The sequence below is a fragment of the Homo sapiens genome, chromosome X, assembly GCF_000001405.40.
Source record: "Homo sapiens chromosome X, GRCh38.p14 Primary Assembly".
Lineage (NCBI taxonomy): Eukaryota > Metazoa > Chordata > Mammalia > Primates > Hominidae > Homo > Homo sapiens.
Window position 1 is genome coordinate 153,669,618 of NC_000023.11, and position 27,125 is coordinate 153,696,742.

The following is a 27,125-nucleotide window of genomic DNA, read 5'->3' on the forward strand; positions in this document are numbered from 1 at the left end:
GCAGAGGTTCAGGTGGCAGTGGGCGAAGCCGTGTGGCAGGCTCTCATTGGTTTCCTTCCCACAAGTGACCAGGTCCCCTCCACACTCGCCGCACCCCCAGGTCACCACTGGCCCATTGCTGTATCTTTCTTTATTGGTTTGGGGAAAACTGGAGGGGGCTGGAAGGCCATGACCATGACACAAGCAGGACCACCCACACTCAGCGAAGCACACAACAGCCGTGCAGGAAAGACAGCCCCTGAGGCCCGCCTGCCAGCACCCCCTCGGCTTTTGGCGGGGCGGGGGGGGCAGGGGCGGGAGAGGCAACAGGGGAGGGGAGCCACTGCCCCCAGGCAGGGCAGAGCCTGGGGACAGACTTGGGGGTGCCCCATTCCAACCCCAGCGCCATGCGCCACACCCTCAAATCTCAAAATCCAGCAGAGGCCAGCCCCAGGGGGAGGGGTTGGGGGAGGGGACCGAAAGCATCCAAGGGAAGGAAATCTGGGGGTCAGTCCACTTGGCCTCGGCATCTGCCTGAGAGGGAGAAGCAGAGGGAAAGGGGGTAGTCAGGAGCCGGCCTGCCAGCCCTGTGCCCCCACCCCCCGCCTCGGTCAAATCCCGGACTTCTTAGAGGCCCTCTCCCCCTGCACCCCCTTGCCCAATGTCAAGCACCCACTGGCCCTCCCTGTCCTTCCACCTCTCCTGGGGCCCTGGCTCCTCCCTCTGCTCTCTGCCTTCAGTCCTCTGGCCTGTGGGGGCCACCCCACTTAGCTCTTGGCCACATGGAGCGCCACCACCCTCTAAGCTCTCCAAGGAGCCAGCTCCTGGGCGTGCAGGGTCCACCCAAACACACCTGGGCATCACCACTTGGGGGGCTGGCCAGCACGGAGGCCTGAGTGGCTGTGGCGGGCCATGCCCTGCTCAGAGGCCCCCTCGCCCTCTGGGATCTGCCCCAGCTTCCGGATGTGGCGCAGGAACGAGGTGGCATTGAAGGCTCGCTGCCAGAAGAGAGGGAGATCAGGCCAGGCCTGGGCCCAGGCCCCAGCCCCTAGACTGTGAGGACTGCAGTGGTCACTGGGCAGCCACGGCGATCAGGCTACAGCTGGGGTGCGGCGGGCGACCACACTGGGTCTCTCTCCACACTGACCTTCCAGTGTGTCCGAGCAAAGTTCTTCCGGATCTGCTCACTGACAGAGCCTAAGATGTCCCTGTCGAAGGCTGTGTCCCCAGAGATCCTGGGGAAAGGCTGAAGGTCAGGGGGGGTCTCTCTGCAAATGCAGGCCCCCTGGCCCTGGGGCAGCTCAGCAGGGCTCCCACTCACCAAAGGTGCCGCAAGGCCTGTTGGCAGGTGAACCTCTTCTGGGGGTCTCGCTCCAGAAGGTGCCGGATGAAGTCTTTGGCTGGAACAGGGAGGCTGGGTCAGCCTGTCAGGTCCCCACTCCCTTGCATCACCTCCAAGCACGGGCCAGCCTCAAGCTCACCTGATTCTGAGATGTCATCCCAGAAAGGAGAGTCAAACTCATAGCTGGCCCTCAGGATCTGGCTGAAGAGCTCAGGGTCGCTCTCGTCGTAGAAGGGGGGGTACCCACACAGCCTGGCACCCACAGATGAATCATCCAGCTGTCCCACCCTCCCCAACCCAGCAGGGGCAGGCAGGCAGGAGACAAGCCTTCCCAGCGGTCACTCACAGGATGTAGGAGATGACGCCCAGGGCCCACACATCTACGGCCTTCCCGTAGGGTTTCTGCTCCAAGAGCTCTGGGGCTGGGGGCCAGAGACAGACAGACGCACGCACAGGCACACACGCAGCCATGCCGCTCAGTGTCACTGGCTCGGCCTACTCAAGCCCAGGAATGGCCCACACAAAGGCAACGGGCACAACAGCCTTCCCGGCTGTCTAGGGTCCCCCAGGCCACCCCACTCCCAGCAAGCCTCAGGGTGTCGTCCCTCACCCACATATCCAGGGGTCCCACAGGCGGTGCCTAGCATGTTCCCAGCCTGGATTTTGGAGAGTCCAAAGTCAGAGACCATGATCTTCGAGTCCTCAAAGGGCGTGGCATACAGGAGGTTTTCGGGCTGTGACACACGGACACCGGGAAAAGGGCCAGTCAGTCCTGACGCGGTGCCGGTGCTGGGACAGGATGGGGACTAGGCACTCTCAGGTTCCCCAGAGCCTTGGTGGAGCAGGAGATCAAGAAAGGCCCCAGCCGTGCTCCCGGGAAAACAAAGGCAGGGCCAGGTGGGCAGGTGGGAGGGTGGGGTGCAGAGGCCCCAGCCAGGCACCTTGAGGTCCCGGTGCACGATCCCCAGGCTGTGCAGGTAGGAGACGGCGCCAAGGACCTGACCCACCAGATGGCTGGCATCCTTCTCTGTGTAGGAGCCGCGCTCCATGATGCGGTCAAACAGCTCGCCACCCGTCACCCTGGGGGTGCCAGGGGTTTGGCTGACCCAGGCACTCAGCCTGGCCTTCAGCCCCACTCACTGCTCAGTCCCTCCCCGGCTCCCACAGCCTGCCCAGGCCCTCCTCACAGTTCCATGGCCAGGTAGAGGTGGGAAGGGCTCTCGTGGACATCCTCCAGAGCGACGATGTTGGGGTGACTGATCCTGCAATGGCAAGGAAGCGCCTGTGGGCCAACAGAGTCAAGGGGTGCTCTGTCCTGAGGCCCTGGGGAAAGCCTCCTCCCTCTTCTCTTCCTCCCACCTCTGCTCCCCATTCCCTACCACATGCCACCCCTGCCCGGTCCAGGAAGGCAGAGCTCCAGCCTGAGCCCCGGCCTTCCTTCTAAAGCCCATTTGAAAAGCACAGATCAATATCAACTCACTCCCTTTGCCACAGGGATGTGCAGGCCCAGAGAGAGCACTGCCCCAGGCCTCCCAAAGGTTGGTGGCCAGGCCTGGACTAGAGCCAAGGACTGCTTGCACCCCCCCATCGACCTATGCCCCGTCCCAGGGCCCCGCGAGGTGCGCACCTACGGAGCACTGCGATCTCGTTCTCCACCAGGGCCTCCTTGCCCCGGAGGGCCTTCTTGGGGATGCACTTGAGGGCCACGAGGTGTGCGGAGCCCCGCTCCTGGGCCAGCACCACCTCGGAGAAGGCACCCCTGCCGCAGACGGGGCGGTGGGAGGTGGGAAGGAAGTGGGAAGAGAGGAGAGGCAGGAGGGAGAGAGAGTGGAGCGGGGAGGGCCCCCTGTGAAGGAGATGGGGAGGCCCTACCTGGCCCTGTGCCACCCCCCACCACCACTCACACATGCCATCTCACAGACTCACTCACATTCACACACCCCTACATATTCACACACACACACATCATCTCACACCCACTCGCGTAGTCACACACACATGCCATCTCACACAGGTACACACACACACACACACACACACACACGATCACACACGCGCGCGCACACTCACGAGCCGAGCCTCTCGCGGATCTCGTAGACGCTGCTGATGTCCTCCGTGTGTTTCTTCAGCAGCAGCATGTCTGCAGGGGCAGGGGAGAGGTGATGGGGGTCTCTCCCCGCCCCGCCGGGGGCAAGGGCAGCTTCCTCCTCCACCCCCTGCCAGGCAGGCCTCAGCCATTGCCGCTGCGCGCTCGACCCTCCCCTCCCCCGTCCAGGTCCACACCCCCAGACGGACGCCTCCCAGCGAGGCCACCGCATACACGCCTCCACATCCCAGGCCTACAGCTGCTATCCCACGCACCCTCCCCCGCACCCCGAAGGCGACCAGCGCCTGGATGCTGCCTCTCTGCCTCCACACATCCGGCCGCTTTCCAGAAGGCTCCATGCTCACCCACGCCGTCCCTCCCCCATCCACACATCTACAGCGCCCAAGCCCCCACCCCCGCCTAGACCCGCCACCCATGGCACAGCGCCCACAGGCACCCGCTGCCCAAGCCACCAAGCCGCCCGGGATGCACCTGCGACCCCCGCGCGCAGCCACCTGCCAAGACCGCGGCCACCCACGCGGCCGCAGACGCAGCCCAGCCCTCGGCGCCGCGGAGCAGGGGGACCTGGCAGCCTGGGCCGCCCGCGTCCCGAGCTGCGTGGACCGAGCGCGTGCGGGCAGGGGGCGCGCCAGGCGTGACAGGTGTGCTGCGGACGCGCAAGGCTGCGGCGGCCGCGGGCCGGATCCGGTGCGCCCCCGCCCCGCGCGTCCCCGCGCCCCGGAGCAGGTGCAGACCTGGAGCGGGTGCCGCAGCGTCGTGCCGCGCAGTGGCCGCAGCGCCAAGCCCCCCGCCCGCGCCCCGCCGGCCCCGCCCCCTCCGCGCACGCCCCCGCCAGCCGCCCAAGCACGCAGTGGCCCAGCGCGGCCGCGGCGCCGCAGGGCACCTTGTAAGGCAATCGCCGGGATCCGGCTCGGGTGCCGGCCGCCACCGCCCAGCCCACTGCTCGCTCGCGCCGCCTCCCGGAGCTGCGGCCCGGCTGGGCCGGCCCCAGGGCCTTTGCACCACCGGTGGCTGTCTCCCGGAGAGCTCTTCGGCCACAGGTCGGCAAGGCTCTCTGCCTTCCAGTCTCTGCCTTCACCGCCTCTCCGAGGACAGGCTGACCCGGCCACTTGCCCGAAAGCAGCCTCCATGCCTAGCTCCAGGACCCTGCAACCCTGCACCACAGCTCTGCCACCCTGGGCTCCCGGCACTCACTGGGCTCCCTCTGGCTCCACCATTAATCCCTCACCCTCGCTTTCTTCTCTACCCAGCAGCCAGAGCATTCCTTTTATTGAGATCATGTCACCCTCCTGCAGCTCTCTATGTCAATCCAAGTCAAAGCATGAGTCCTTAGGGGGCGGCCTAACGACTGCCCTGGCCCCTCCTCCTCCACCTCTTCCCCGGCCACACTGGCCTCCTGACGGCCCTAGCCTTTGCTCCCCTGCCTGGAATGTTCTTCGATCAGATATCTGCCTGGCTTGGCTCCTCGTTCCATCAGATCTCGGCTCAAATGTCCCCTCCTCAAACCGGCCTCCCCCGCCCTGCCCCTGCCAATTCTCTCCGCATAACCCTGCCCTGTCTTTAGAACGTCCAACCGCAAAAATCACCTTCTTCGCCTGGTCTTCCTCACCAAAGCGTCCGCTCCCAGAGAGTGTATCTCCGCGAACCCAACCAAGACGAGCCCAGGAAATAAGTGCGGGTGACCGAATTCAATCCTGCATCCAACAGTTACTGGACCCCCCTCGCTGCTCGCCATCCAGTCCCATGAGGTTGTGGCCAGCATCACAAGGGTTCCGTCAAGTGACCGTGGGCCCTGGCATGACACGACGTCTTCAAGAGAGTCCACGGGGCAGGAAGAGTTTTTAAAAAATCATTTTTCCAGACCTCAACTCCCATATATACTCTGTGTAAAAACTGGGAAATCTGAGAAGGCCCCTAGCAGCTCTTGCCCCCTGGCCTTTCCCAGTCACCCCTCCCAGGACACTGCAGAAGGCTCCAGGGACCCCAGCACTCAGAAACTCCAGTCCCACCTGCTCCTCTATGTGAAAATGGTTTCCTGGGACCGACATCTAAAACAGAAAAAAATAGGAATGGAACTGATGGTGAGCCCCTTCTCATGACAGCAGGAAGTGCAATTTGTTTACAGATACCTACAGATAGTTCCCCAGAATGTCTAATACGCCAATGGTGCTTTGCCCAAGCAGAGTTCTACAACATGGTCCTGGGTTATAAAAAGAAATAGAAATACACATATTTCTGTGCCCCAGAAAAGTAATAAAAAACTGCCCGCGTGGAAAGAGATGGCACAAAGAGACCTATCTGAGGGGCAGCAGATGGAAACTGGAGGCCAGAAGGAAAGCACCCACCTCCAAAGTGGGCCTGGGAAAGACGAGCCAGCGGGCAGGTATTGGTCCACGAGGTGACTCAGGTGGCCCTGGCCTCATGTAAAAGCTGATGGCACAGTTTTTGTTTGAATCATTGTATCATGGGGTTTTTTTTGGTTTGTTATTGTTGTTGTTGTTTGAGACAGGGTCTCACTGTCGCCCAGGCTGGAGTGCAGTAGTGCCATCTCAGCTCACTGCAGCCTCTGCCTCCTGGGTTCAAGCAATTCTCCCGCCTCAGCCTCGAGTAGCTGGGACTACAGGTGCATGCCACCACACCAAGCTAATTTTTGTATTTTTAGTAGAGGCAGGGTTTTACCATGTTGGCCAGGCTGGTCTCGAACTCCTGACCTCAGGTGATCTGCCTGCCTCAGCATCCCAAAGTGCTGGGATTACAGGCGTGAGCCACCGCACCAGGCCTATATTGTGTGTTTACAAGAGAAATTACACCCTCCGGCCTGGCAAGGTGGCTTATGCCTGTAATCCCAGCACTTCAGGAGGCTGAGGCTGGAGGATCACTTGAGCCCAGGAGTTCCAGCCTAGCCTGGGCAACATAGCTTTTCTTTTCTTTTTTTTCTTTTCTTTTTTTTTTTTTTTTTTTGAGATGGAGTGTAGAAAGTAAAAAGTTCCTCTTCAAAGTTTCCCTTCTTATTAAAAAATAAATCATAAGTTTAGAAATAATAGTTTCTTTTAAAGACTAACTTCCTTCAAGCCTCCTTGCTTTGTGCTAATAACTCTTTGTTAAGCCCTATCCTATGTAGCTGTTAAACATGCTTACAGGCACGTAGTACATTCTATGTCCTTGTACTTTAACCAAGATATCTGTGCTGGACGTGCTCACAGGCATGTCCCAGCTCGCAGCCTATCTCCCTTTCCTATTGGGGAATATTATTACTTTTCTAAGCCGTTTCGTAAGCAACTTCCTCTTTTCCTTTATCCTTCCATTACTTTTATCTATTTTCAAAAGTTTTAAACTACTAGCCAATCGGGTTTTAGGTTAGATTGTGAGGTCTGGCTGCAGCCAATGGAAACAGGACACAGTAGCAAGGACAAACGGCATAAGGAATAAAAATTGCTTCCCTCCTTTGTTTGGTGTACTCATGTGGCAAAACTGCTGGCGAGTGTACCCTTTCCGCAGAAAGTTAAAAAATGGCCTTGCTAAGGAGATTAAACTTATGCCGGGTGTGGTGGCTCATGCCTGTAATCCTAGCAGTTTGGGAGGCCAAGGTGGGCAAATCACCTGAGGTCAGGAGTTCGACACCAGCCTGGCCAACATGGTGAAACCCCGTCTCTACTAAAAATGTAAAAATTAGCCGGGCATGGTGGCTCACGCCTGTAATCCCAACTACTTGGGAGTCTGAGGCAGGAGAATAGCTTGAACCTGGGAGGTGGAGGTTGCAGTGAGCCAAGATCGTGCCATTGCACCCCAGCCTGGGGCACAAGAGTGAGACTTCATCTCAAAAAAAAAAAAAAAGAAAGAAAGAAAGAAAAAGAAAATTAAATTTATGTTCAAGTGCTATTTCTTTGTGCCACCGGGGAACAAACATTTCTAACATGGAGTCTCAGTCTTGTCACCCAGGCTGGCAGGCAATTGTGTGATCTCCGCTCACTACGACCTCCGCCTCCTGGGCTCAAGCGATTCTCCCACTTCAGCCTCCCAAGTAGCTGGGACTACAGGCACCCGCCACCACGCTGGGCTAATTTTTGTATTTTTGGGTAGAGACAGTTTCACCATGTTGGCAGGCTGATCTCGAACTCCTGACCTCAGATGATCCACCCTCCTCGGCCTCCCAAAGTGCTGGGATTACAGGCGTGAGCCACCGCGCCCAGCCACCTGTGTCCTTTTGATGTCCGTTCATCACTGCATGTGTGTGTGCATGCCCGTGTAGGTGTGGGCGTGTCTGTCTCTGTGAGCCCTTCCTTACTTTCTGGCTCTGTGCTCATCCCTTATATTTCCTGAACCGGTCCTAGAAGCAGCCGTTTTCTCTAAGGAGCCATTTTTGAGAGAATGGTGTTGGAGACGAAGATCTGGGCGCTAGGTGTGCCCATTGTTCCTGGAGTATTGCTGCTTCTAGGCCCTCTCCACTGACAGCAAGAACTTATAGTGTGTGTGTGTATATACATATATATACATAGTGTGTATATATATATAGTGTGTATATATAGTGTGTATATATAGTGTATATATATATATAGTGTGTATATATATAGTGTATATATATAGTGTGTATATATATAGTGTATATATATAGTGTGTATATATATATAGTGTGTATATATAGTGTATATATAGTGTGTGTATATATATAGTGCATATATATAGTGTATATATAGTGTGTATATATAGTGTGTATATATAGTGTGTATATATATAGTGTGTATATAGTGTGTGTATATATAGTGTGTATGTATATATATAGTGTATATAGTGTATATATAGTCTGTATATAGTGTGTATATATACACTAACCCATGTACATATAGATAGATATGTAGTATATATAGTGTATATATATACACTAACCCATGTACATATAGATAGATAGATATACAAGCCCATATAATACCCATTTAATATATATACCAACCCATGTTATGTTACTAACATAACATCTATAAACAGATACACACGCGCATCAGTATCTATATTAAACTCAACAGGAGTGCACACTGATGTCTCCAACTCTAATCCATCACCACCTGGGTCATTCTAGCTGCCTGCCCTTGCTTGTCTATAACCTCCCACTCTAAAAGTGAGAAACCCAGGCCAGGCACGGTGGCTCATGCCTGTAACCCCAGCACTTTGGGAGGCTGAGGCAGATGGATCATCTGAGATCTGGAGTTCAAGACAAGCGTGGCCAACATGGTGAAACCCCAAATCTACCAGAAATATGAAAAATTAGCCAGGCATGGTGGTGCATGCCTGTGGTCCCACCTACTCGGGAGGCTGAGTTAGGAGGATCTCTTGAGCCTAGGAGGTCAAGGCTACAGTGAGCCATGATTGTGCCACTGCACTCCAGCCTGGGCCACACAGCAAGATCCTGTCTCTAAAAATAAAATTAAAAATTAAAATTAAAGTGAGAAACCTGGCTCCCACCGTCTTCCATCCATTGCCGTAGTTCTTGAATTCCGGTATAAAGGTGGAGAGGTTGCAGAATCATTCACCTCTACCCTGGTGGGGGGTGATCTTATCAATTAGAGTGCGGCGCTTATGTGTTCTTCCTTTTGCTCTTAGTCTGACAGATGCCTATTTTAAGTTCCCTCTGTCTGCTGTAAAGTTCTATGGGTTTTGACATATTCAGAGTGTCACGTGTCCACCATTACAGCATCATACAGAACAGTTTCCCTGTGCTACAGAATCCCTGTGCTGCGCCTACCAAGCACGATCCCCTCTCTCAGACCCCTGGCAACCATGGATCCGTTTTCTGTCTTTTTTTTTTTTTTTTTAATCTATTTTGCTTTTTCCGGAATGTCAGGTAAATGGAGTCATAGAGTAGGTAGCTTTGTCAGGCTTTTTACTATGCAATATGTATTTAAGATTAACTTATTTCTTTGCATGGGTTCATAGCTTTCCCCTCTTTATCACTGACTAGTATTCCATTGTCCAGATATACCACATTTTATTTGTTCACCTACTGAGGAACATCTTAATTGCTTCCAGTTTTTGCCAATTACGAATAAAGCTGCTAATACTATCGCACTGGTCTTTAAGGAAAAAAAGGCTGCTATAAATATATGTGGGGTGGTTTTTGTGTGGACATAAGTTTTCAAATCATTTGGGTAAATACCAAGGAGTGTGATTGCTGAATTGTATGGTAAGAGTATACTTAGCTTCGGAAGGAACTGCCAACCGCTTTTCAGGGTGGCTGTACCTCGTCACATTCTCACCAGCAATGAGTGGGAGTTCTTGCTGCTCCAGGTCCTCGCCAGCATTAGGAGTTGTCAGTGTTTTGGATTTTGGCTATCTAGTAGGTATGCAGCGGTATCTCCTTGTGGTTTTAATTTGCAATTCCCTAAAGATGTATGCTGTTAAACATCTTCTGATATGCTTATTTGCCATTTGTATTTCTTCTTTGGAGAGGCATCTGTTCAGATCTTTTGCCCATTTTTAAATTGGGTTGTTTTCTTATTGAGTTGGGATTTTTCTTTTCTTTTCTTTTCTTTTTTTTTTTTTTTTTTTTTTTGAGACACAGTCTTATTCTGTTGCCCAGGCTGGAGTGCAGTGGTGCAATCTCAGCTCACTGCAACCTCTGCCTCCTGAGTTCAAGCGATTCTCCTGCCTCAGCCTCCCGAGTAGCTGGGATTACAGGCACCCGTCACCATGCCCAGCTAATTTTTGTATTTTTAGTAGAGGCAGGGTTTCACCATGTTGGCCAGGCTGGTCTCGAACTCCTGACCTCAGGTGATCCACCTGCCTCGGCCTCCCAAAGTGCTGGGATTACAGGCATGAGCCACCGCACCTTGCCAAGACCCCATCTTCTTCAAAAAATTTACAAATTAGCCGGGTGTGGTGGTGTGTACCCATAGTCTCAGTTACTTGGGAGGCTGAGGCAGCAGGATCACTTGAGTCCAGGAGTTGGAGGCTGCAGTGAGCCATGATCATGCCACTGCACTCCACCCTGGCAACCAGAGAGTGATAGCACAACTCAAAAAGAAAAGAGAAAAGAAATTACACCCTTTGCAACTGTGTAAACATCTGCTGAAATCCTGTACGTGTCAACTTTGAAATGTATGTGTGTTGGTTGGGTGGTGGTGATGTGATACGGTTTGGATGTCTGTCCCCTCCAAATCTCATGTTGAACTATAATCCCCAATGTTCAAGGTGGCGTCTAATGGTACGTTTTTGGGTCATGGCGGTGGATCCCTCATGAATGGCGTGGTGCCGTCCTCACAATAATGAGTGAGTTCTTGCTCTGAGTCCATACGAGATCTGGTTGTTTGAAAGAGTCTAGCACCTCCTCCACCCTCACTCTCTTGCTCCCATTCTTGCCATGGATATGCCGGCTCCCTCTTCACCTTCCACCATGAATGGAAGCTTCCTGAGGGTGTCACTAGAAGCAGATGCTGGCACCACACTTCCTGTATAGTCTCCAGAACCATGAGCCAAAATAAGCCACTTTTCTTTATAAATTACCCAGCCTCAGATTTTTTTTTTATAGCAATGCAAGAACGGGCTCACATATGACAGATAAAGAGCTGTAGTCCCAGCTACTTGGGAGGCTGAGGCAGGAGAATCACTTGAACCCGGGAGGTGGAGGTTGCAGTGAGCCAAGATTGTGCCACTGCACTCCAGCCTGGGCAACAGAGTGAGACTCTGTCTCAAAAAAAAACCTAGCCTTCAGGGCTGGGCGCGGTGGCTCATGCCTGTAATCCCAGCACTTTGGGAGGCCGAGGAGGGTGGATCATCTGAGGTCAAGAGTTCGAGATCAGCCTGGCCAACATGGTGAAACTGTCTCTACCAAAAAATACAAAAATTAGCCGGGCGTGGTGGTGGGTGCCTGTAGTCCCAGCTACTTGGGGGGCTGAAGTGGGAGAATTGCTTTAGCCCAGGAGGCGGAGGTTGCAGTGAGCGGAGATCACACAACTGTCCGCCCGCCTGGGCAACAGAGTGAGAACCTGTCTCAAAAAAAAAAAAAAAAAAAAAAGGACAAAGGACACAGGAGCCAACCGAAAGAGAGTCCAATGGTCCAAGATGGAAAATTTGAGCAAGAAAATAAAGAGTTGTGTTAGATTAAAACCAAATATAAGGTACACATCTATGAGTCCATACCGTTATAAATAAATGATTACATAAATAAATGTGGGAGAACAGACAACACTCCTGCACAGAACAAAACATTACTTGTGTAGATACTGCCCCTCCAGGAGGTGGCCCCGCTCCCTAACTGGGCCTCACGGAGCGGCTTCCTTCCCAAGAGCACGGTATGGAAAGGGGGAACAGTCACTTCCCAGTGGAGAGACCCGACAAACAGGACCCCAGCCGGTCGTTCCAGGTCTACATGGCCCCCGATGAGGCGCTTCACCCCCGTGGTCTTCCTCCTGATCACCCCTGAGGCCCACCTGATCATGGGAAACAGCAAAAGTTTCCCAACAGAGGTTGTTTTACAACACACTGCCCAGTCCTCCTCGAAGCTGTTAGGGCCACCAAGAACAAGGAGTCTGAGAAACTGTCACAGCCAAGAGGAGCCTCAGGAGACAGGATGACTAAATGCAACATGTGATCCTGACAGAAAAAGGACATTAGGGAAAAGCCAAGAAAACCTGAATAAACTATGGGCTTTAGATACTAACAGTGTTGATTCATTGTTTGCAATAACTGATGTTGATTCATTAATTGCAATAAATGAGCTGTCCTAACATAAGAGGCTAATAAGGCGGGAGATGGGGGTGGGCTGTATGGGAATTCTTGGTACCCTCTTTACAGTTTTTCTGTACATCTAAAACTAGTCTAGAAGGTGAGGGTTGAAAAATTACCTATTGGGTACAACGTTCACTATTCAGGTTGTAACCACCTAATGGGTTCATTTTGCTCACTGCCCAGATAGATAGAGCCAATTTATCAAGACAGGGGAATTACAATAAAGTTTTGTTTTGTTTGTTTGAGACAGAGTCTTGCTCTGTCACCCAGGCTGGAGTGCAGTGGCGCGATCTCAGCTCACTGCAACCTCCGCCTCCTGGGTTCAAACAATTCTCCAGCCCCAGCCTCCCGAGTAACTGGGACTACAGGCACGCACCACCGTGTCTGGCTAATTTTTGTATTTTTAGTAGGGACAGGGTTTCACCATGTTGGCCAGGCTGGTCTCTAACTCCTGACCTCAGGTGATCTGCCTGCCTCGGCCTCACAAAGTGCTGGGATTACAGGTGTGGGCCACCGCACCGGCCTGTTTTGTTTTGAGGCAGGGTGTCGCACTGTCTCTCAGGCTGGAGTGCAGTGGTACAATCACGGCTCACGGCACCCTTGACCTCTTGAGCTCAAGTGATCCTCTTGCCTCAGCCTCCCCATAGCTGGGAGCACAGGTGCGTGTCACCGCCCCAGCTAATTTTTAAATTTTTTGTAGAGACAAGGTTTCGCTATGTTGCCCAGGCTGGTCTCGAACCCCTGGGATCAAGTGATCTGTGTCAGGCCTCTGAGCCCAAGCTAAGCCATCATATCCCCTGTGACCTGCACATATACATCCAGATGGCCTGAAGCAACTGAAGATCCACAAAAGAAGTGAAAATAGCCTTAACTGATGACATTCCACCATTGTGATTTGTTTCTGCCCCACCCTAACTGATGTACTTTGTAATCTCCCCCACCCTTAAGAAAGTTCTTTGTAATCTCCCTCACCCTTGAGAAGGTTCTTTGTAATTTGTAATTCTCCCCACCCTTGAGAATGTACTTTGTGAGATCCACCTCCTGCCCACAAAACATTGCTCCTAACTCCAGCGCCTATCCCAAAACCTATAAGAACTAATGATAATCCCATCACCCTTTGCTGACTCTCTTTTCGGACTCAGCCTGCCTGCACCCAGGTAAAATAAACAGCCTTGTTGCTCACACAGAGCCTGTTTGGTAGTCTCTTCACATGGACGTGTGAGACAATCTGCCCACCTGGTCCTCCCAAAGTGCTGGGATTACAGGTGTGAGTCACCAGGCCCAGCCGAGAAAGAGTTGAATACACGTAGAGGAGACTGGAGTTTTATTATTACTCAAATCAGCTGCCCTGAAAATTTGAAGGCTGGGATTTATTTATTTATTTTTTATTTTTTTGAGATGGAGTCTCGCTCTGTCGCCCAGGCTGGAGTGCAGTGGCATGAGCTAGGCTCACTGCAAGCTCCGCCTCCCAGGTTCAAGCGATTCTCCTGCCTCAGCCTCCTGAGTAGCTGGGATTACAGGCCCGTGCCACCACACCTGGTTAATTTTTTGTATTTTTAGTAGAGACGGGGCTTCACCATGTTAGCCTGGATGGTCTTGATCTCCTGACCTCGTGATCCACCCATGTTGGCCTCCCAAAGTGTTGAGATTACAGGCATGAGCCACCGTGCCCAGCCCTGAAGGCTAGGTTTTTTTTTTGAGACAGAGTCTCACTCTGTTGCCCAGGCTGGAGTGCAGTGGCACAATCTTGGCTCACTGCAACCTCCACCTCCCGGGTTCAAGCGATTTCCGGCTAACTTTTGTATTTTTAGTAGAGACAGGGGTTTCACCATGTTGGCCAGGCTGCTCTTGAACTCCTGACCTCAAGTGACCCACCCGCCTGGGCCTCCCAAAGTGCTAGGATTACAGGTGTGAGCCACCGCACCCAGCCCGAAAGCTAGGATTTTTTAAAGATAGTTTGGCGGACAGGGGGCTAGGGAATGGGTGCTGCTGACTGGTTGGGTGGGGGATGATTCTTGTGTGCTGAGCTGAGTCTGCTTTTAGGTAGGGCCACAGGACCTTGAGTCATAGGTCTATGTGGTCCGGGTGGAGCCATCTGGTAGTGAGAAATGCAAAAACCTGCAAAGACGTCTCAAAAAGCCAACCTTAGGTTCTACAATAGTGACATTATCTACAGGAGTAATTGGAGAAGTTACAAATCTCTTGAGCTCTGAACAATGGCTGGTCATCATGAATGCTTCCATGTTAGCAGAATTCAGGCCCCTCTCATCCTCCTCACCTGATGGCCTTTCATTACTTTTACAAAGGCGGTTTCATCTTGGGAAGGTCTGTTATCATTTAAACTATAAACGAAATTTCTCCCAAAGTTAGCTTGGCCCATGCCCAGGAAAGACCAAAAACAGTTTGGAGGGTAAATGCAGACAGGGTTGGTTAGATCAGCTCTCTCACTGGCAGAATTTTGTTACTGTTACAGTTTTTGCAAGGCAGCTTTAGGGTGATGGGTCTGCACGGAATATATGCATGTAACAGAACCGCGCTTGTACCCTCTCAATCTATAAAACAAATAAAACCAGCCTAATAAAAGTTTACATAAAATGTAAAAAACAAAGCAAAGCCTCCTTTCTGCGGGTCTGTGTAAACGAGCACAGCTGGTGGGAAGGGCGCGGGTGGGGGGTTCTGCTGCCCCCCATCCCTGCCCTGCTGCAGGCCCTCGCCCCCAGCCCCATTCTTTCTGTTCTCCGCTTGGCTGCAGCCGCACGTCGGCCCCCTCCCCAGGAGCTGGAAGTACAAAGCCCTTCCAGGTGGACTCTGGCTCCCCCTTTGTTCCCAGCTTATTCTAATTCCAAAGCTCATTGTGCCCGGCTCGCCTTCAGAAGAGGAGGCGCCCCCATCCTGTCTCCAGCTGCCCATCCTCCCAGGATAACCAGTCACCCCAGGGCCCGGTGGCCCCTCACCCAGCCCCTCCCCGGTCCGCAGCTGCCCTAGGCTTGAGTGGGCGCTGGCTCCAATTCTCAGGCCTCCCCCAACAAACAGGAGCATTCCGGCTAGCCCCCCTCCCCTGCCCTCCCCCCAGCTCCCCTTCTCCTCCCCTCTCCCTCCTCCTCAGCTCCTACTCCAACCCCCCAGCCCCAGCTGGGGCCTGAAAGGCTGCCCACTCCCTGGGACACGGTAAGGGGAGGGTGCAGCTCTCCCCCCGCCCCTCCCCGGTCGCCTCTGCCCCAGAGAACAGTTTGCTTCTCACCCAGAAGCCACCATAGGAGCTCTGGGCTGGGCACAGGTCGCAGGGCACCCCCACCCCCTCCTGCACATGCTCGGAACCCCCCTTCAGTGAGTAGAACACAAGGGCCTGGCAAGACAGGCGGAGGCTTGGAAAGGGCTGGCGGGGGACAGCTACCCGGCCCTCAGCTGGGGGCCTGGAGAGCCCACCCTGCCCCTCCCCAGCAGCTGCTGCCCCCGGGCCGAGCCTGACGCGCCTTGACAAAGCCCGAGAACGCTTTGAAGCCTTCGGACGTGGGAGAGGACCCAGCCAGGGATGGAAATCGCTTTGCCTTTGTTCCCCCAACTGCTCAGCAGCTCGTGGGAGCAGCCTCAGAAGACCCTGTCACTGGCCGCCCGGGTCAGAGCCTGTGACAGAGACCAGAGCTCCGGCCGGAGCTCCCCGCCGGGAACTCCAGCCTTACCAGCCTGAACTTCATGCACTGCTCAAAGAGGCCCAGCTCGCCCTGGCTGGGCAGGGGCGGCTCCCAGGGTGGCCGACGTGGGGAGGGTTCCTGAACCTCCCTCAGGAGCCTCCTGGGACAGAGTCCTGGAGGTCAGCAGAGAAAGGGAAGCCCAGGCTGTGGGCCCCGCGTGGAGGGAAAACTCAGGGGGAACGCCCCGAGGCTGGGAGGGCACAGCCCCATCACACTCCATCTCGTAGTCTTGGAGAAAAATTTAGTTCTACCTCCAGGGCACAGAAAAGCCCAAAGAAGGGATGAGATAAAGGAGGGGCTGGTCAGATTTGTGCTTCAGGAGGGTCCCTCTGGCTGCTCAGAGAATGCAGTTTGGGGTCTGGCCCAGGCCGTGAGGAGGAGTTCACAGTCACTATGGGGTCCAGACCAGCTGGGGGCGGGAGGCAGGGCCTGGCCCAGGGGCTGGTAGTGGGTGCACCCCAGGCTGGGCTGGCAAAGGGCGGGGAAGAAGGTGGGTGTGGGAAGGGGTGGCTGCCTGGAGAAGAGCCCAGTTCCAGGAGGTCGTGGGAGTCAGGTATGGGGGCCCACTGGACCTCCCCTCAGATGTGGGGGCTCCCACTCCGAGGGTCCATGGAGCAGTGGCAGCCATTCTGGACAGCCCCCCACCCTTCACTTCTGTCTCCAGTACCCTCCAGCCTGGCCACCTCGCCCTCTGCCTCGGCCTCCTCTGATCTCACAAAGGCAGCAGCAGTCAGGGGTGGCGACTCCCTCATGATCCTGTCCCTGGCCTCGGAACCCACCGGAGGAGTAACCGCAGCAGTGGTCACTTCCCCAAAGTGCCATCAGCTCTCCTACATCCTTCTCGAGCCTCTGCTTTCTCTCCCTTCCACCCCCACCCCTTTGACAAGCAACATCTGAAAGTCTCCCCTGCCCGCGGCTCCCAGAGCTGTCTGGCCGTGGCCTGCACTCTCCCTCAAAGCGGCCCTCCCCCAGGTCACCGTCCTCCCTTCGATGACATCACGCGCCCACCCCGCACTCCTGCTGGGCTGAGGCCCTCCGAGCCTACTTCACCGGGTCCTCTTCTTTCTCTCAAAGGCAATGGGGTTTGCCTGTGGTCCAGCTGGGTTGGCCCTCTTCCCTCTGTCCTGGGTCCTTGAGTGGCCCCGCTTCTTTAGGCCATCTATGAGTCACTTCTCTAATGCCCCTGTCTCCAGACCAGCTTCAGTCAAAGGCTGGGCCAGAGAAGACCCTAGTGAGAAACTTCTGATGAGCAGTGTGACCTTGCCACCTCAGGGGTACCCACCCACCACCCCTGGTCTAAGCACAGGTGACACCGCCTGTCTCCCCCAACCACACACACCCCTTGAGGCTCCTCCTCCAAGCCTGGGTGGGGACACTGTCCCTCCCTCACCCAGCAAGCTCAATCTGGCTTGGGCCGGAACTGCTTTTCTTCCTAAAGCTGGACGGATGGCCGCGGGCTTAGCTTAACGGGATGAGCCATCTGGGGACTGCAGTGTCCACGATCAGATCAGGGAGCTTGAAGCTGAGGGGGGCACACTTTACCTCCCAGGCCAGGACAATGACCACTTCCTTCCCCACCCCACCCCCAGGCTACTCTTAGCCCTAGAAAATTCTAAACAAGCTGCTCAGCTGGCGGCGGAGAGGCAGCCCAACAAGCTGGCTCTTGCTAGGGAGGCCTGGGGGGTCCTGGGGAGAGGAACACGGGGTGGGTGGGGGGCGGGCAGCCAGGACCTCAGGCCTGAGGCCTTTGGGGAAGGGTCTGTGCACCTGCCAGGCACCAGGGGGCAGCCTTGCCTTGTTCCCGCTCCAGTCCCCTCAAGTCCGAAGCCCCTACCCACTCTCACGCCAGGCAGGGGTGGGGGCCGCCGGGGTCATTTACCCGGGCCCCTTCTCTGCCTTGATGACAAAGTCGAGGCTTGCTCATCAGCCAGGCAGGCTCCCCTCTGCCCACTGTGGAGACACAGAGGCCTGTCACCTGAAGAGCTGGTCCCGGCCTCCAGCTTCCAGGGTAGCCGGGAAGCTGTAGCCCCCAGTGGGCAGCGGTGGAGAGAGCTCAAGGAAGGAGGGAGCACCGGGAGGAGACGGCTGCAGCCTGCCAGGAGCGGGGAGAAAGGGAGAGAAGGGGAGGCGGAGGGCTGAGGGGGCCCGGGGGACGTCTTCCCAGGGCTGGGAGGGGCCGGCCGGGAAGCCTGGGCTGCACTAGGAGCCGGCGACCCTGGGGCGAGGGGCGGCCCGGAGCCCTGCGGGAGGAGCTGGCGGCCGCCCCAGGTAGCAACCATCCTGCCTCCCGCTGGAGCGGCGTCTCCTCCCCGGGAGGAGGGCAGGGAGGAGGTGGGCGGAGTGTGACGAGGAGGGCGGGAGGGAGGGATGCGGGAGGGGGAGGGGGAGGGGGGCCGGCCGGCCGTGGGGGTGGGGCGATAGTGACATCACCCCGGAGTCGGTTTTTAAGCGGCGGCCGGCCGGGGACGGGGAAGAGAGGGATAGTCGGAGCGAGGTGGCGAGTCGCTGAGCCCGCCGCGGCCCCGAGAGCGGCTGCAGCCGCCGCCGCCGGGAAGGAGAGGGCGAGGCGCGCCCGAGCCGCCGCCGCCGCCGCCACCGCCGCCGCCGCCACCACCGCCACCGGAGTCGCGGGCCAGCCGGGCAGCCTCCGCGGGCCCCGGCCGGGGCGGGGGGCGCGGGCCACAGGCCCCTGCTCCGGCCGCCGCTTGCAGACCGCGGGCGCCGATGTCGCCCGCGCCCCGCTAGGCTGAGCCTCGGGTCGGGCGAGGAGCCGCCGCAGCCGCCGCCGCCCGAGCCGCGGGCAGGAGCCTCGGGAGCCGCCGCCGCCGCCGCCGCCGCCCGGCCGGGCCCCGCCGCCGCCCGCGCGCCCCCGGGCCCCCGACACACATGAGATTCTTCAGGCTCACTTTCAAGTGCTTCGTGGACTGCTTCTGACTGCGCCGCCCGCGCCCCGCACCCCGCCGCCCGCCCGCCGCCCCGTCCCCCGGCCCGGCCGCCCCCCGGCCCCCGGCCGGCCCGCGCCCTCGGGGCCCTCCCCGGTGCCGCCGGTGCCCCCCGCCTGACCGCCGCCCCCCGTGAGGCGCCGCGACCCCGGCCCGGCCGTGCGGCCCGCCGAGGCCATGGCGAAGAAGAGCGCCGAGAACGGCATCTATAGCGTGTCCGGCGACGAGAAGAAGGGCCCCCTCATCGCGCCCGGGCCCGACGGGGCCCCGGCCAAGGGCGACGGCCCCGTGGGCCTGGGGACACCCGGCGGCCGCCTGGCCGTGCCGCCGCGCGAGACCTGGACGCGCCAGATGGACTTCATCATGTCGTGCGTGGGCTTCGCCGTGGGCTTGGGCAACGTGTGGCGCTTCCCCTACCTGTGCTACAAGAACGGCGGAGGTGAGTTCCCCCGCCCGCCGCGGCCTCCTCCCCCAGCAGGCCGCCGGCCCCCGCCCGACCCCCGGAGCCGCCGCGGAGGGGTGAAGTCCGGGCAACGGGTGGCCCCCGGGCACGCGGGGGTCGGGGCCGCCCCTCGTCCGCCGCTGCCGCTCGGTGGCCGGGCCGGGCGCCTCCACCCCCCTCGCAGTCATGTGCCTGGCATGGTGGGGGGAGGGGGCCGGCGATGCCCGCGAGGCTGCCCCCCAGACTCCCGGGCTGGGAGGAGCGATTGGCCGCCGAGGTGGGAAAGCAGGCCTGCGCCTTGGGGTCTCCGCGAGGTAAGGAGCCCTGGCTGCCCCCACGGGTCGGGCACACAAGCGGCACATTGTGTGGGCCCCCCACGTGTGCACACACACGAACACACACACACACAATGGGCCACTCTGTCCCTCCCCCTGCCCTCCCCTCCCCTCGCGGCCCTCCCGCCCCTCCCCTCTGGCCCGGGCCTGGAACACTGGGTGCCCGAGCCAGGCTTGGGAAGCCTGCGGCCTGGCCCGCCTGGCGCCGCCACTGGACACACTGCATGCACGTCCCATGCCCGCCCGCCCGCCCGCCCGCCCGGGCCCAGCTTAGCAACAGCGATGGGCACGCGTGTGTCCTGTGACTACAAAACAGCACTGGGGTTGCTGGAAGCCGAAGTGACCCGGTGATGGGTGGGAAACAGAGGTCCAGAGCAAAGGCCTTTGCCCAAGGTCAGGAGAAGGATGCTGGGACCTGGAGTCAGGCAAGTTGCAGCCAAGCTCAGCCTCTGAGTAGTGGAGCGAGCCCAGCCAGGGCAAGGGTAGGAGGCCCAGAGAGGAGAAGGGGGTAGTGGCACCCAGCTCTCCCTGCCCTTCTGCCACCCCCACCCCAGCCTGCTGGCCTCAGGAGATAGGCCTGTGTCACGCCCTGCCTATCTCCTGCAGAGCCTGACTCCCTGGCCTTGCTAAGGCCGGCCTGGCCCCTCTTCCGCACCTGTATCCCTCTGTCCTTGCACATCGCCATCCCACCAGCAGGGGACTGTGACCCACCCACCCTCTGCCTTAGACCTCACACTTGCAGGCAAGCGTCCAAGGGCAGGACAGTCGCGCTCCCTGCCTTTGGATGAGCCCCCCAGGCCTGATCACCCAGCCTTGGCACACATGCACACATGCACGTGCCCTCACTGTGCTGCCTGAAACAGGGAATTGCAGCACTAGGGACAGCCCGCGTGTCTGAGCGTGTGTGTCCTCCATGGCCATCGCCCCAAGTGACCGTGGGGGTGGAAGCCCTGGGGGCCTAGGGCCCCTCTGCCACCCAGGGAATAGGGCTCCAATGGCTCAGGGGCTACTGTAGCCCCTCTTCAACACACTCAACCCACCCCCTCAAGACTCCACCTGGGGCCTGAGTCAGTGGCCACCCCTACACTGACTCACCCAGTCGGAAGTTGTGATGGGGCCTTTGGAGTCTGGGCTGGCCCGCTGGGCCTGGGCAGCCTGGCTGGGGGCCACCCTGAGTCCACGCTGTGCCTCCACCCCCAGGTGTGTTCCTTATTCCCTACGTCCTGATCGCCCTGGTTGGAGGAATCCCCATTTTCTTCTTAGAGATCTCGCTGGGCCAGTTCATGAAGGCCGGCAGCATCAATGTCTGGAACATCTGTCCCCTGTTCAAAGGTGAGCAGCCCTTGGCCAGCCTCAGGGACTGCCCCCTTCTCCCAGCTGGCTCCCACTTGAGAAATCTTTTCCTGTCGTGAGCACCAGGCCTGGGGCCACGTGATGGCGTCCCAGTCTCGAGGGGGGAGCCTGGAGGAGATGTTCAGGCCGCACAGCGAACTTGGGGAAGCGGGGACTAGAGGGGGCATAGGCAGCTCCACAAGGCAAGGACAGGCCAGGCATAGCCGGGCTGGGGACGGGACCTGCCCAGCAGCACCCTTGGCTCTCTAGGTAGGTCCTACTGTTACTATCCCCAAGGACGCTGGGGCACAGACAGGTGGAGCGACGTACTGAGGTTGCCCACTGCAGGGGCGACTGTCTCCAACACTACCTCAGGCGACTAGAAACCCCCCCCCCCCACCACCACCATCAACACCAGCTGCTGAGGACTGGAGGCTACTGGGTGGCCAGGCAGAGGCTTGGACCTCCTGGAACCGCCATGGTGGCAGTGGGACCCACAGAAGGGGCCAGGTGTATGAGGCTGGAGACTCCACAGCACTTGGTCAGATGGGGACAGGAGGAGAGGGGCTCGCTCTGCCTTGGGTCTAGGGGGCGGCTGGAGGAGAGGAGACAGGCTGGGGAGTCAGCGCAGTGTTGGGGCTCACACAAGGGGGAGCCCAGGGGAGTCAGGAGCACCACAAACAAGGCTCCAGGAGGACAGATGGTGGGAGCACGGCCAGCCTGGGTGGGGACATAAAGGGGTGGCAGGGGGAGGTGGCCAGGGAAGAATCTACATGGCAAGGACTTCCCGGCCCCAGGCCTGGGCTACGCCTCCATGGTGATCGTCTTCTACTGCAACACCTACTACATCATGGTGCTGGCCTGGGGCTTCTATTACCTGGTCAAGTCCTTTACCACCACGCTGCCCTGGGCCACATGTGGCCACACCTGGAACACTCCCGACTGCGTGGAGATCTTCCGCCATGAAGACTGTGCCAATGCCAGCCTGGCCAACCTCACCTGTGACCAGCTTGCTGACCGCCGGTCCCCTGTCATCGAGTTCTGGGAGTGAGTCCGGCACCTCTGGGCCAAGCCCATCCCATCCCCCAGGTCTCCCTCATGTTGCCCGGCTCCAGGGGAGTGGCCCTGAGGGGGCACCAGGGTGTTGCCTGGCAGTCCATCCTGGACCCTGCCTGCCCTTGCCTGTCCTCGGAGAGTCCTGGGGCCAGCCTCGCTCCTGGGTTCGGCAGCCGATCACTGTCCTGGTCACTCCCCCCTGATGGGGGAGCTGGGGCTGCATGTGAGGTGGGATGGGAGTGGCCTCCCAATGGCCAGGGGATCGTGGGCTCCAGGCCCAGCCCAATTGGACAAGAGGGACCCGCTGAACCCTGGGCTGTGGGAGAGAAGGGAGCCACAACTCCTGGGGGTGGACCCTGTGGCTCCATCCTCTGCTGGCACAGGCCTCATGGGACCTCCCTCCCTCCCCTAGGAACAAAGTCTTGAGGCTGTCTGGGGGACTGGAGGTGCCAGGGGCCCTCAACTGGGAGGTGACCCTTTGTCTGCTGGCCTGCTGGGTGCTGGTCTACTTCTGTGTCTGGAAGGGGGTCAAATCCACGGGAAAGGTACCACTAGAGGCATGCAGCGGGGAGGGTGGCTCAGCCCTGGGAGCCGGATGTCTGTGCCAGGCACACCTGTGGCAACGGGAGGTGACCAGACAGAGTCTAGCCCTAAGGAAGGGGGAGGTACTGAAAGCCAAGCAATGCTCCCCACCCTGCAAATCCAGGGCCCAGCAGCCTTTGCTCCTGGGGATAGAGGCCCTGGCAGGCACTGTCCCTTCCCTGTGCCCATCACCCCCACTGGTGCCCTCCTGCCAGTCTCTGACTCTTGTGACAGTCTGGTGGACCTGGTCTGGCCATCTGTTACCTATCTTGCCTTGGGGACCCAGAGCAGAGTCTGGCCACATCCCTTGGGGGCTCCTGGTCAGGCTGGGGAGTCACCTGAACAAAGAAGACAGTGTCTAGAGCTGTGGGACATGGCCAGCTCCCTGGGGGACAAGGTCCCCAGAGCAGCATGTGGGAAGAGGGGGCAGACAGTGTGGCAGCTGCATCTCGCCTGCCTCTGCCTGGCCCAGTTCCACTCTCCACCTGCTCAACCCCCACCTCTCTCCAGAAGAGGAGGGGGACCCGACCCGGATCCAATATCCCGCTCCCTGCCTGGGCCTCCCACACCTGCACTGCCCACACACTCATACAGCTCTCACTCCCCACGTGCTCCACGCCTCCTGTCCCCACTGAGGAGAGCTCCCAGAGGCTCGCCTGCTCCCCACCGACACGCGTCCCTGCAGACAAACGAGGCGCCCAGGGAGCTTCCCCACTGCACTTGGCCAGGGCTGCCGGGGCGCAGCCTTGCCCCTAGCTTCCTCTGGCGGGAGCCATGGCTCGGAGGACAATGGGGACCTCTGAACATACCTGCCCGCAAGGGGGACCGGAGGCGCTGGGAGTGGGGGTGTGAGGGAGGTGGTGCCACAGCCTCCGCTGAGCAGCCTGGCCCCCCAGATCGTGTACTTCACTGCTACATTCCCCTACGTGGTCCTGGTCGTGCTGCTGGTGCGTGGAGTGCTGCTGCCTGGCGCCCTGGATGGCATCATTTACTATCTCAAGCCTGACTGGTCAAAGCTGGGGTCCCCTCAGGTGAGGTGGAGGTGGAGAGGCTGCAGCAGGGCGCTGCGGGGGAGCCCTGCAGGCCCCTCATGCCTGCGCTCTCCGGCCCTTCTCTAGGTGTGGATAGATGCGGGGACCCAGATTTTCTTTTCTTACGCCATTGGCCTGGGGGCCCTCACAGCCCTGGGCAGCTACAACCGCTTCAACAACAACTGCTACAAGTAAGCACCGCCGCCCTGCCACCCGTGCCCTGTCCTGCCCTGCCCCGCCCTGCCCAGCAGCCTAACCCATCCACTCTGGCCCCTCCACCCCTCAGGGACGCCATCATCCTGGCTCTCATCAACAGTGGGACCAGCTTCTTTGCTGGCTTCGTGGTCTTCTCCATCCTGGGCTTCATGGCTGCAGAGCAGGGCGTGCACATCTCCAAGGTGGCAGAGTCAGGTAGGGCCCTACCCCCAGCCCCGCCTCCAGAGCAGCGAGTGCTACCCAGATGCATGATGTACAGGAACATGCAATAGAAATGCTGAAAAGTGACGAGGATTCAAACGGAACTTGTCAGATTGTGGGCCTGTGGGGGCAGGTCCTGGGATTTGTCAATGTTGACAGAGAAAGGACCTCCCAGCCCCTGCCGCACGACCCAGGGTTGACAGCGCCTCTGAGGCAGGCGTGGGCATGGGCGCGAGTGTTGCAGGCAGGGCTCAGGGTGCGCACAGGGCAGGACATCGGCTACAAGGTCTAGAGCCTGCACCTTTCCCACAGGGCCGGGCCTGGCCTTCATCGCCTACCCGCGGGCTGTCACGCTGATGCCAGTGGCCCCACTCTGGGCTGCCCTGTTCTTCTTCATGCTGTTGCTGCTTGGTCTCGACAGCCAGGTTTGCATGGGGCTCTGGGACAGGGAGCCAGGAGGGGGGCGGAGGGAGGGCTGCAGGCAAGGAAAGGGGTGGAGGGCGGTGCGGGGCTCGGCCTGAGCTGCCCTGGCCACAGTTTGTAGGTGTGGAGGGCTTCATCACCGGCCTCCTCGACCTCCTCCCGGCCTCCTACTACTTCCGTTTCCAAAGGGAGATCTCTGTGGCCCTCTGTTGTGCCCTCTGCTTTGTCATCGATCTCTCCATGGTGACTGATGTGAGTGGGGTGGGGGGTCTGCCTGTGACCTCTGGTGGCCGTCTGCCATCCTCCCTGACTGGGCTCTGTCCCCCAGGGCGGGATGTACGTCTTCCAGCTGTTTGACTACTACTCGGCCAGCGGCACCACCCTGCTCTGGCAGGCCTTTTGGGAGTGCGTGGTGGTGGCCTGGGTGTACGGTAGGTCATGGCTGAGGGCTGGGCTGGGGGATGGTGGCGGGGAAGGCAGGTCTCCAGCTTGGCCCTCCCGCCTCACCTCGCCGCAGGAGCTGACCGCTTCATGGACGACATTGCCTGTATGATCGGGTACCGACCTTGCCCCTGGATGAAATGGTGCTGGTCCTTCTTCACCCCGCTGGTCTGCATGGTAAGGGCTGGGGGAGGTGGGGCAGGGCGGGGGGCGAGGCAGGGCGGGGTAGGGGCCCCATTAACCGCAGCATTCTGGTCCGTAGGGCATCTTCATCTTCAACGTTGTGTACTACGAGCCGCTGGTCTACAACAACACCTACGTGTACCCGTGGTGGGGTGAGGCCATGGGCTGGGCCTTCGCCCTGTCCTCCATGCTGTGCGTGCCGCTGCACCTCCTGGGCTGCCTCCTCAGGGCCAAGGGCACCATGGCTGAGGTAAGGCTCCCGCCCGGCCCGCCCTCCCCTCCCCTGCTGTGAACATTCAACCCAGCCTGCTTCCTAGCCAGGGAGTGGCCCCGACTAGGGTGGCAGGCAGTGGGAACCGGAGAGAGGCAGAGGAAGTCACCGTGGGGACGAGCAGGTGACCCTGGGGGCTTCAGCATGTCCTCCTCTCCTGCAGCGCTGGCAGCACCTGACCCAGCCCATCTGGGGCCTCCACCACTTGGAGTACCGAGCTCAGGACGCAGATGTCAGGGGCCTGACCACCCTGACCCCAGTGTCCGAGAGCAGCAAGGTCGTCGTGGTGGAGAGTGTCATGTGACAACTCAGCTCACATCACCAGCTCACCTCTGGTAGCCATAGCAGCCCCTGCTTCAGCCCCACCGCACCCCTCCAGGGGGCCTGCCTTTCCCTGACACTTTTGGGGTCTGCCTGGGGGAGGAGGGGAGAAAGCACCATGAGTGCTCACTAAAACAACTTTTTCCATTTTTAATAAAACGCCAAAAATATCACAACCCACCAAAAATAGATGCCTCTCCCCCTCCAGCCCTAGCCGAGCTGGTCCTAGGCCCCGCCTAGTGCCCCACCCCCACCCACAGTGCTGCACTCCTCCTGCCCCTGCCACGCCCACCCCCTGCCCACCTCTCCAGGCTCTGCTCTGCAGCACACCCGTGGGTGACCCCTCACCCCAGAAGCAGCAGTGGCAGCTTGGGAAATGTGAGGAAGGGAAGGAGGGAGAGACGGGAGGGAGGAGAGAGAGGAGAAGGGAGGCAGGGGAGGGGCAGCAGAACCAAGGCAAATATTTCAGCTGGGCTATACCCCTCTCCCCATCCCTGTTATAGAAGCTTAGAGAGCCAGCCAGCAATGGAACCTTCTGGTTCCTGCGCCAATCGCCACCAGTATCAATTGTGTGAGCTTGGGTGCGAGTGCACGCGTGCGTGAGTACGGAGAGTATATATAGATCTCTATCTCTTAGCAAAGGTGAATGCCAGATGTAAATGGCGCCTCTGGGCAAAGGAGGCTTGTATTTTGCACATTTTATAAAAACTTGAGAGAATGAGATTTCTGCTTGTATATTTCTAAAAAGAGGAAGGAGCCCAAACCATCCTCTCCTTACCACTCCCATCCCTGTGAGCCCTACCTTACCCCTCTGCCCCTAGCCAAGGAGTGTGAATTTATAGATCTAACTTTCATAGGCAAAACAAAAGCTTCGAGCTGTTGCGTGTGTGAGTCTGTTGTGTGGATGTGCGTGTGTGGTCCCCAGCCCCAGACTGGATTGGAAAAGTGCATGGTGGGGGCCTCGGGGCTGTCCCCACGCTGTCCCTTTGCCACAAGTCTGTGGGGCAAGAGGCTGCAATATTCCGTCCTGGGTGTCTGGGCTGCTAACCTGGCCTGCTCAGGCTTCCCACCCTGTGCGGGGCACACCCCCAGGAAGGGACCCTGGACACGGCTCCCACGTCCAGGCTTAAGGTGGATGCACTTCCCGCACCTCCAGTCTTCTGTGTAGCAGCTTTAACCCACGTTTGTCTGTCACGTCCAGTCCCGAGACGGCTGAGTGACCCCAAGAAAGGCTTCCCCGACACCCAGACAGAGGCTGCAGGGCTGGGGCTGGGTGAGGGTGGCGGGCCTGCGGGGACATTCTACTGTGCTAAAAAGCCACTGCAGACATAGCAATAAAAACATGTCATTTTCCAAAGCAGGCTCCTGCTTCCGCCTCTGCTGCTCTAAGGAAGGGGTCGGGGTACAGGAGGCAGGGGGAACCTCCTCCAGCTGGAGCTGCTGCCGTGAGCAAGGCTCTGCTCTGGAGGCCTCTGCGGCCGGCACCCTTCTGGGGACTGGGAAGGGGGCAG

General features: G+C 58.4%; 2 protein-coding genes across 22 annotated transcripts, besides 1 other annotated feature; one reads left to right on the forward strand and one right to left on the reverse strand.

Moving 5' to 3' along the window:
• PNCK (pregnancy up-regulated nonubiquitous CaM kinase) lies at positions 116-18,154 on the reverse strand. Of its 19 annotated transcripts, none has more exons than NM_001366975.1 (13): positions 17,673-18,154; positions 16,884-17,066; positions 3,392-3,461; positions 2,949-3,080; positions 2,509-2,583; positions 2,263-2,401; positions 1,932-2,055; positions 1,668-1,743; positions 1,461-1,573; positions 1,301-1,379; positions 1,127-1,214; positions 833-977; positions 116-513 (listed from the first exon to the last, which is right to left on the reverse strand). In NM_001366975.1, the coding sequence occupies exons 3-12, from the start codon at positions 3,457-3,459 to the stop codon at positions 840-842; spliced, it is 1,032 nt and encodes a 343-aa protein (NP_001353904.1). In that variant the 5' UTR covers positions 3,460-3,461; positions 16,884-17,066; positions 17,673-18,154; the 3' UTR covers positions 116-513; positions 833-839. The 19 variants fall into 19 exon arrangements, with proteins under 19 accessions (NP_001353904.1, XP_047297792.1, XP_047297795.1 ...); XM_047441836.1 differs by lacking the exon at positions 17,673-18,154 and adding an exon at positions 17,229-17,323; XM_047441839.1 differs by lacking the exons at positions 16,884-17,066; positions 17,673-18,154 and adding exons at positions 5,015-5,237; positions 5,438-5,913.
• Positions 1,150-1,405: a silencer, noted in NCBI's record as "fragment chrX:152936222-152936477 (GRCh37/hg19 assembly coordinates)". NCBI's record gives its function as "represses an EF-1alpha promoter that drives an FKBP-Casp9 reporter gene in an ReSE screen in HepG2 liver carcinoma cells {active_cell/tissue: HepG2}" and the evidence as "EXISTENCE:reporter gene assay evidence [ECO:0000049][PMID:32094911]".
• SLC6A8 (solute carrier family 6 member 8) lies at positions 18,309-26,976 on the forward strand. 3 transcript variants are annotated; one of them, NM_005629.4, is made up of 13 exons: positions 18,309-19,219; positions 20,758-20,889; positions 21,687-21,936; positions 22,358-22,490; positions 23,424-23,558; positions 23,646-23,749; positions 23,845-23,969; positions 24,288-24,400; positions 24,513-24,650; positions 24,727-24,829; positions 24,916-25,016; positions 25,102-25,272; positions 25,457-26,971. In NM_005629.4, the coding sequence occupies exons 1-13, from the start codon at positions 18,958-18,960 to the stop codon at positions 25,595-25,597; spliced, it is 1,908 nt and encodes a 635-aa protein (NP_005620.1). In that variant the 5' UTR covers positions 18,309-18,957; the 3' UTR covers positions 25,598-26,971. The 3 variants fall into 3 exon arrangements, with proteins under 3 accessions (NP_005620.1, NP_001136277.1, NP_001136278.1); NM_001142805.2 differs by having other exon boundaries at positions 23,875-23,969; NM_001142806.1 differs by lacking the exon at positions 18,309-19,219 and adding an exon at positions 19,894-19,982 and having other exon boundaries at positions 25,457-26,976.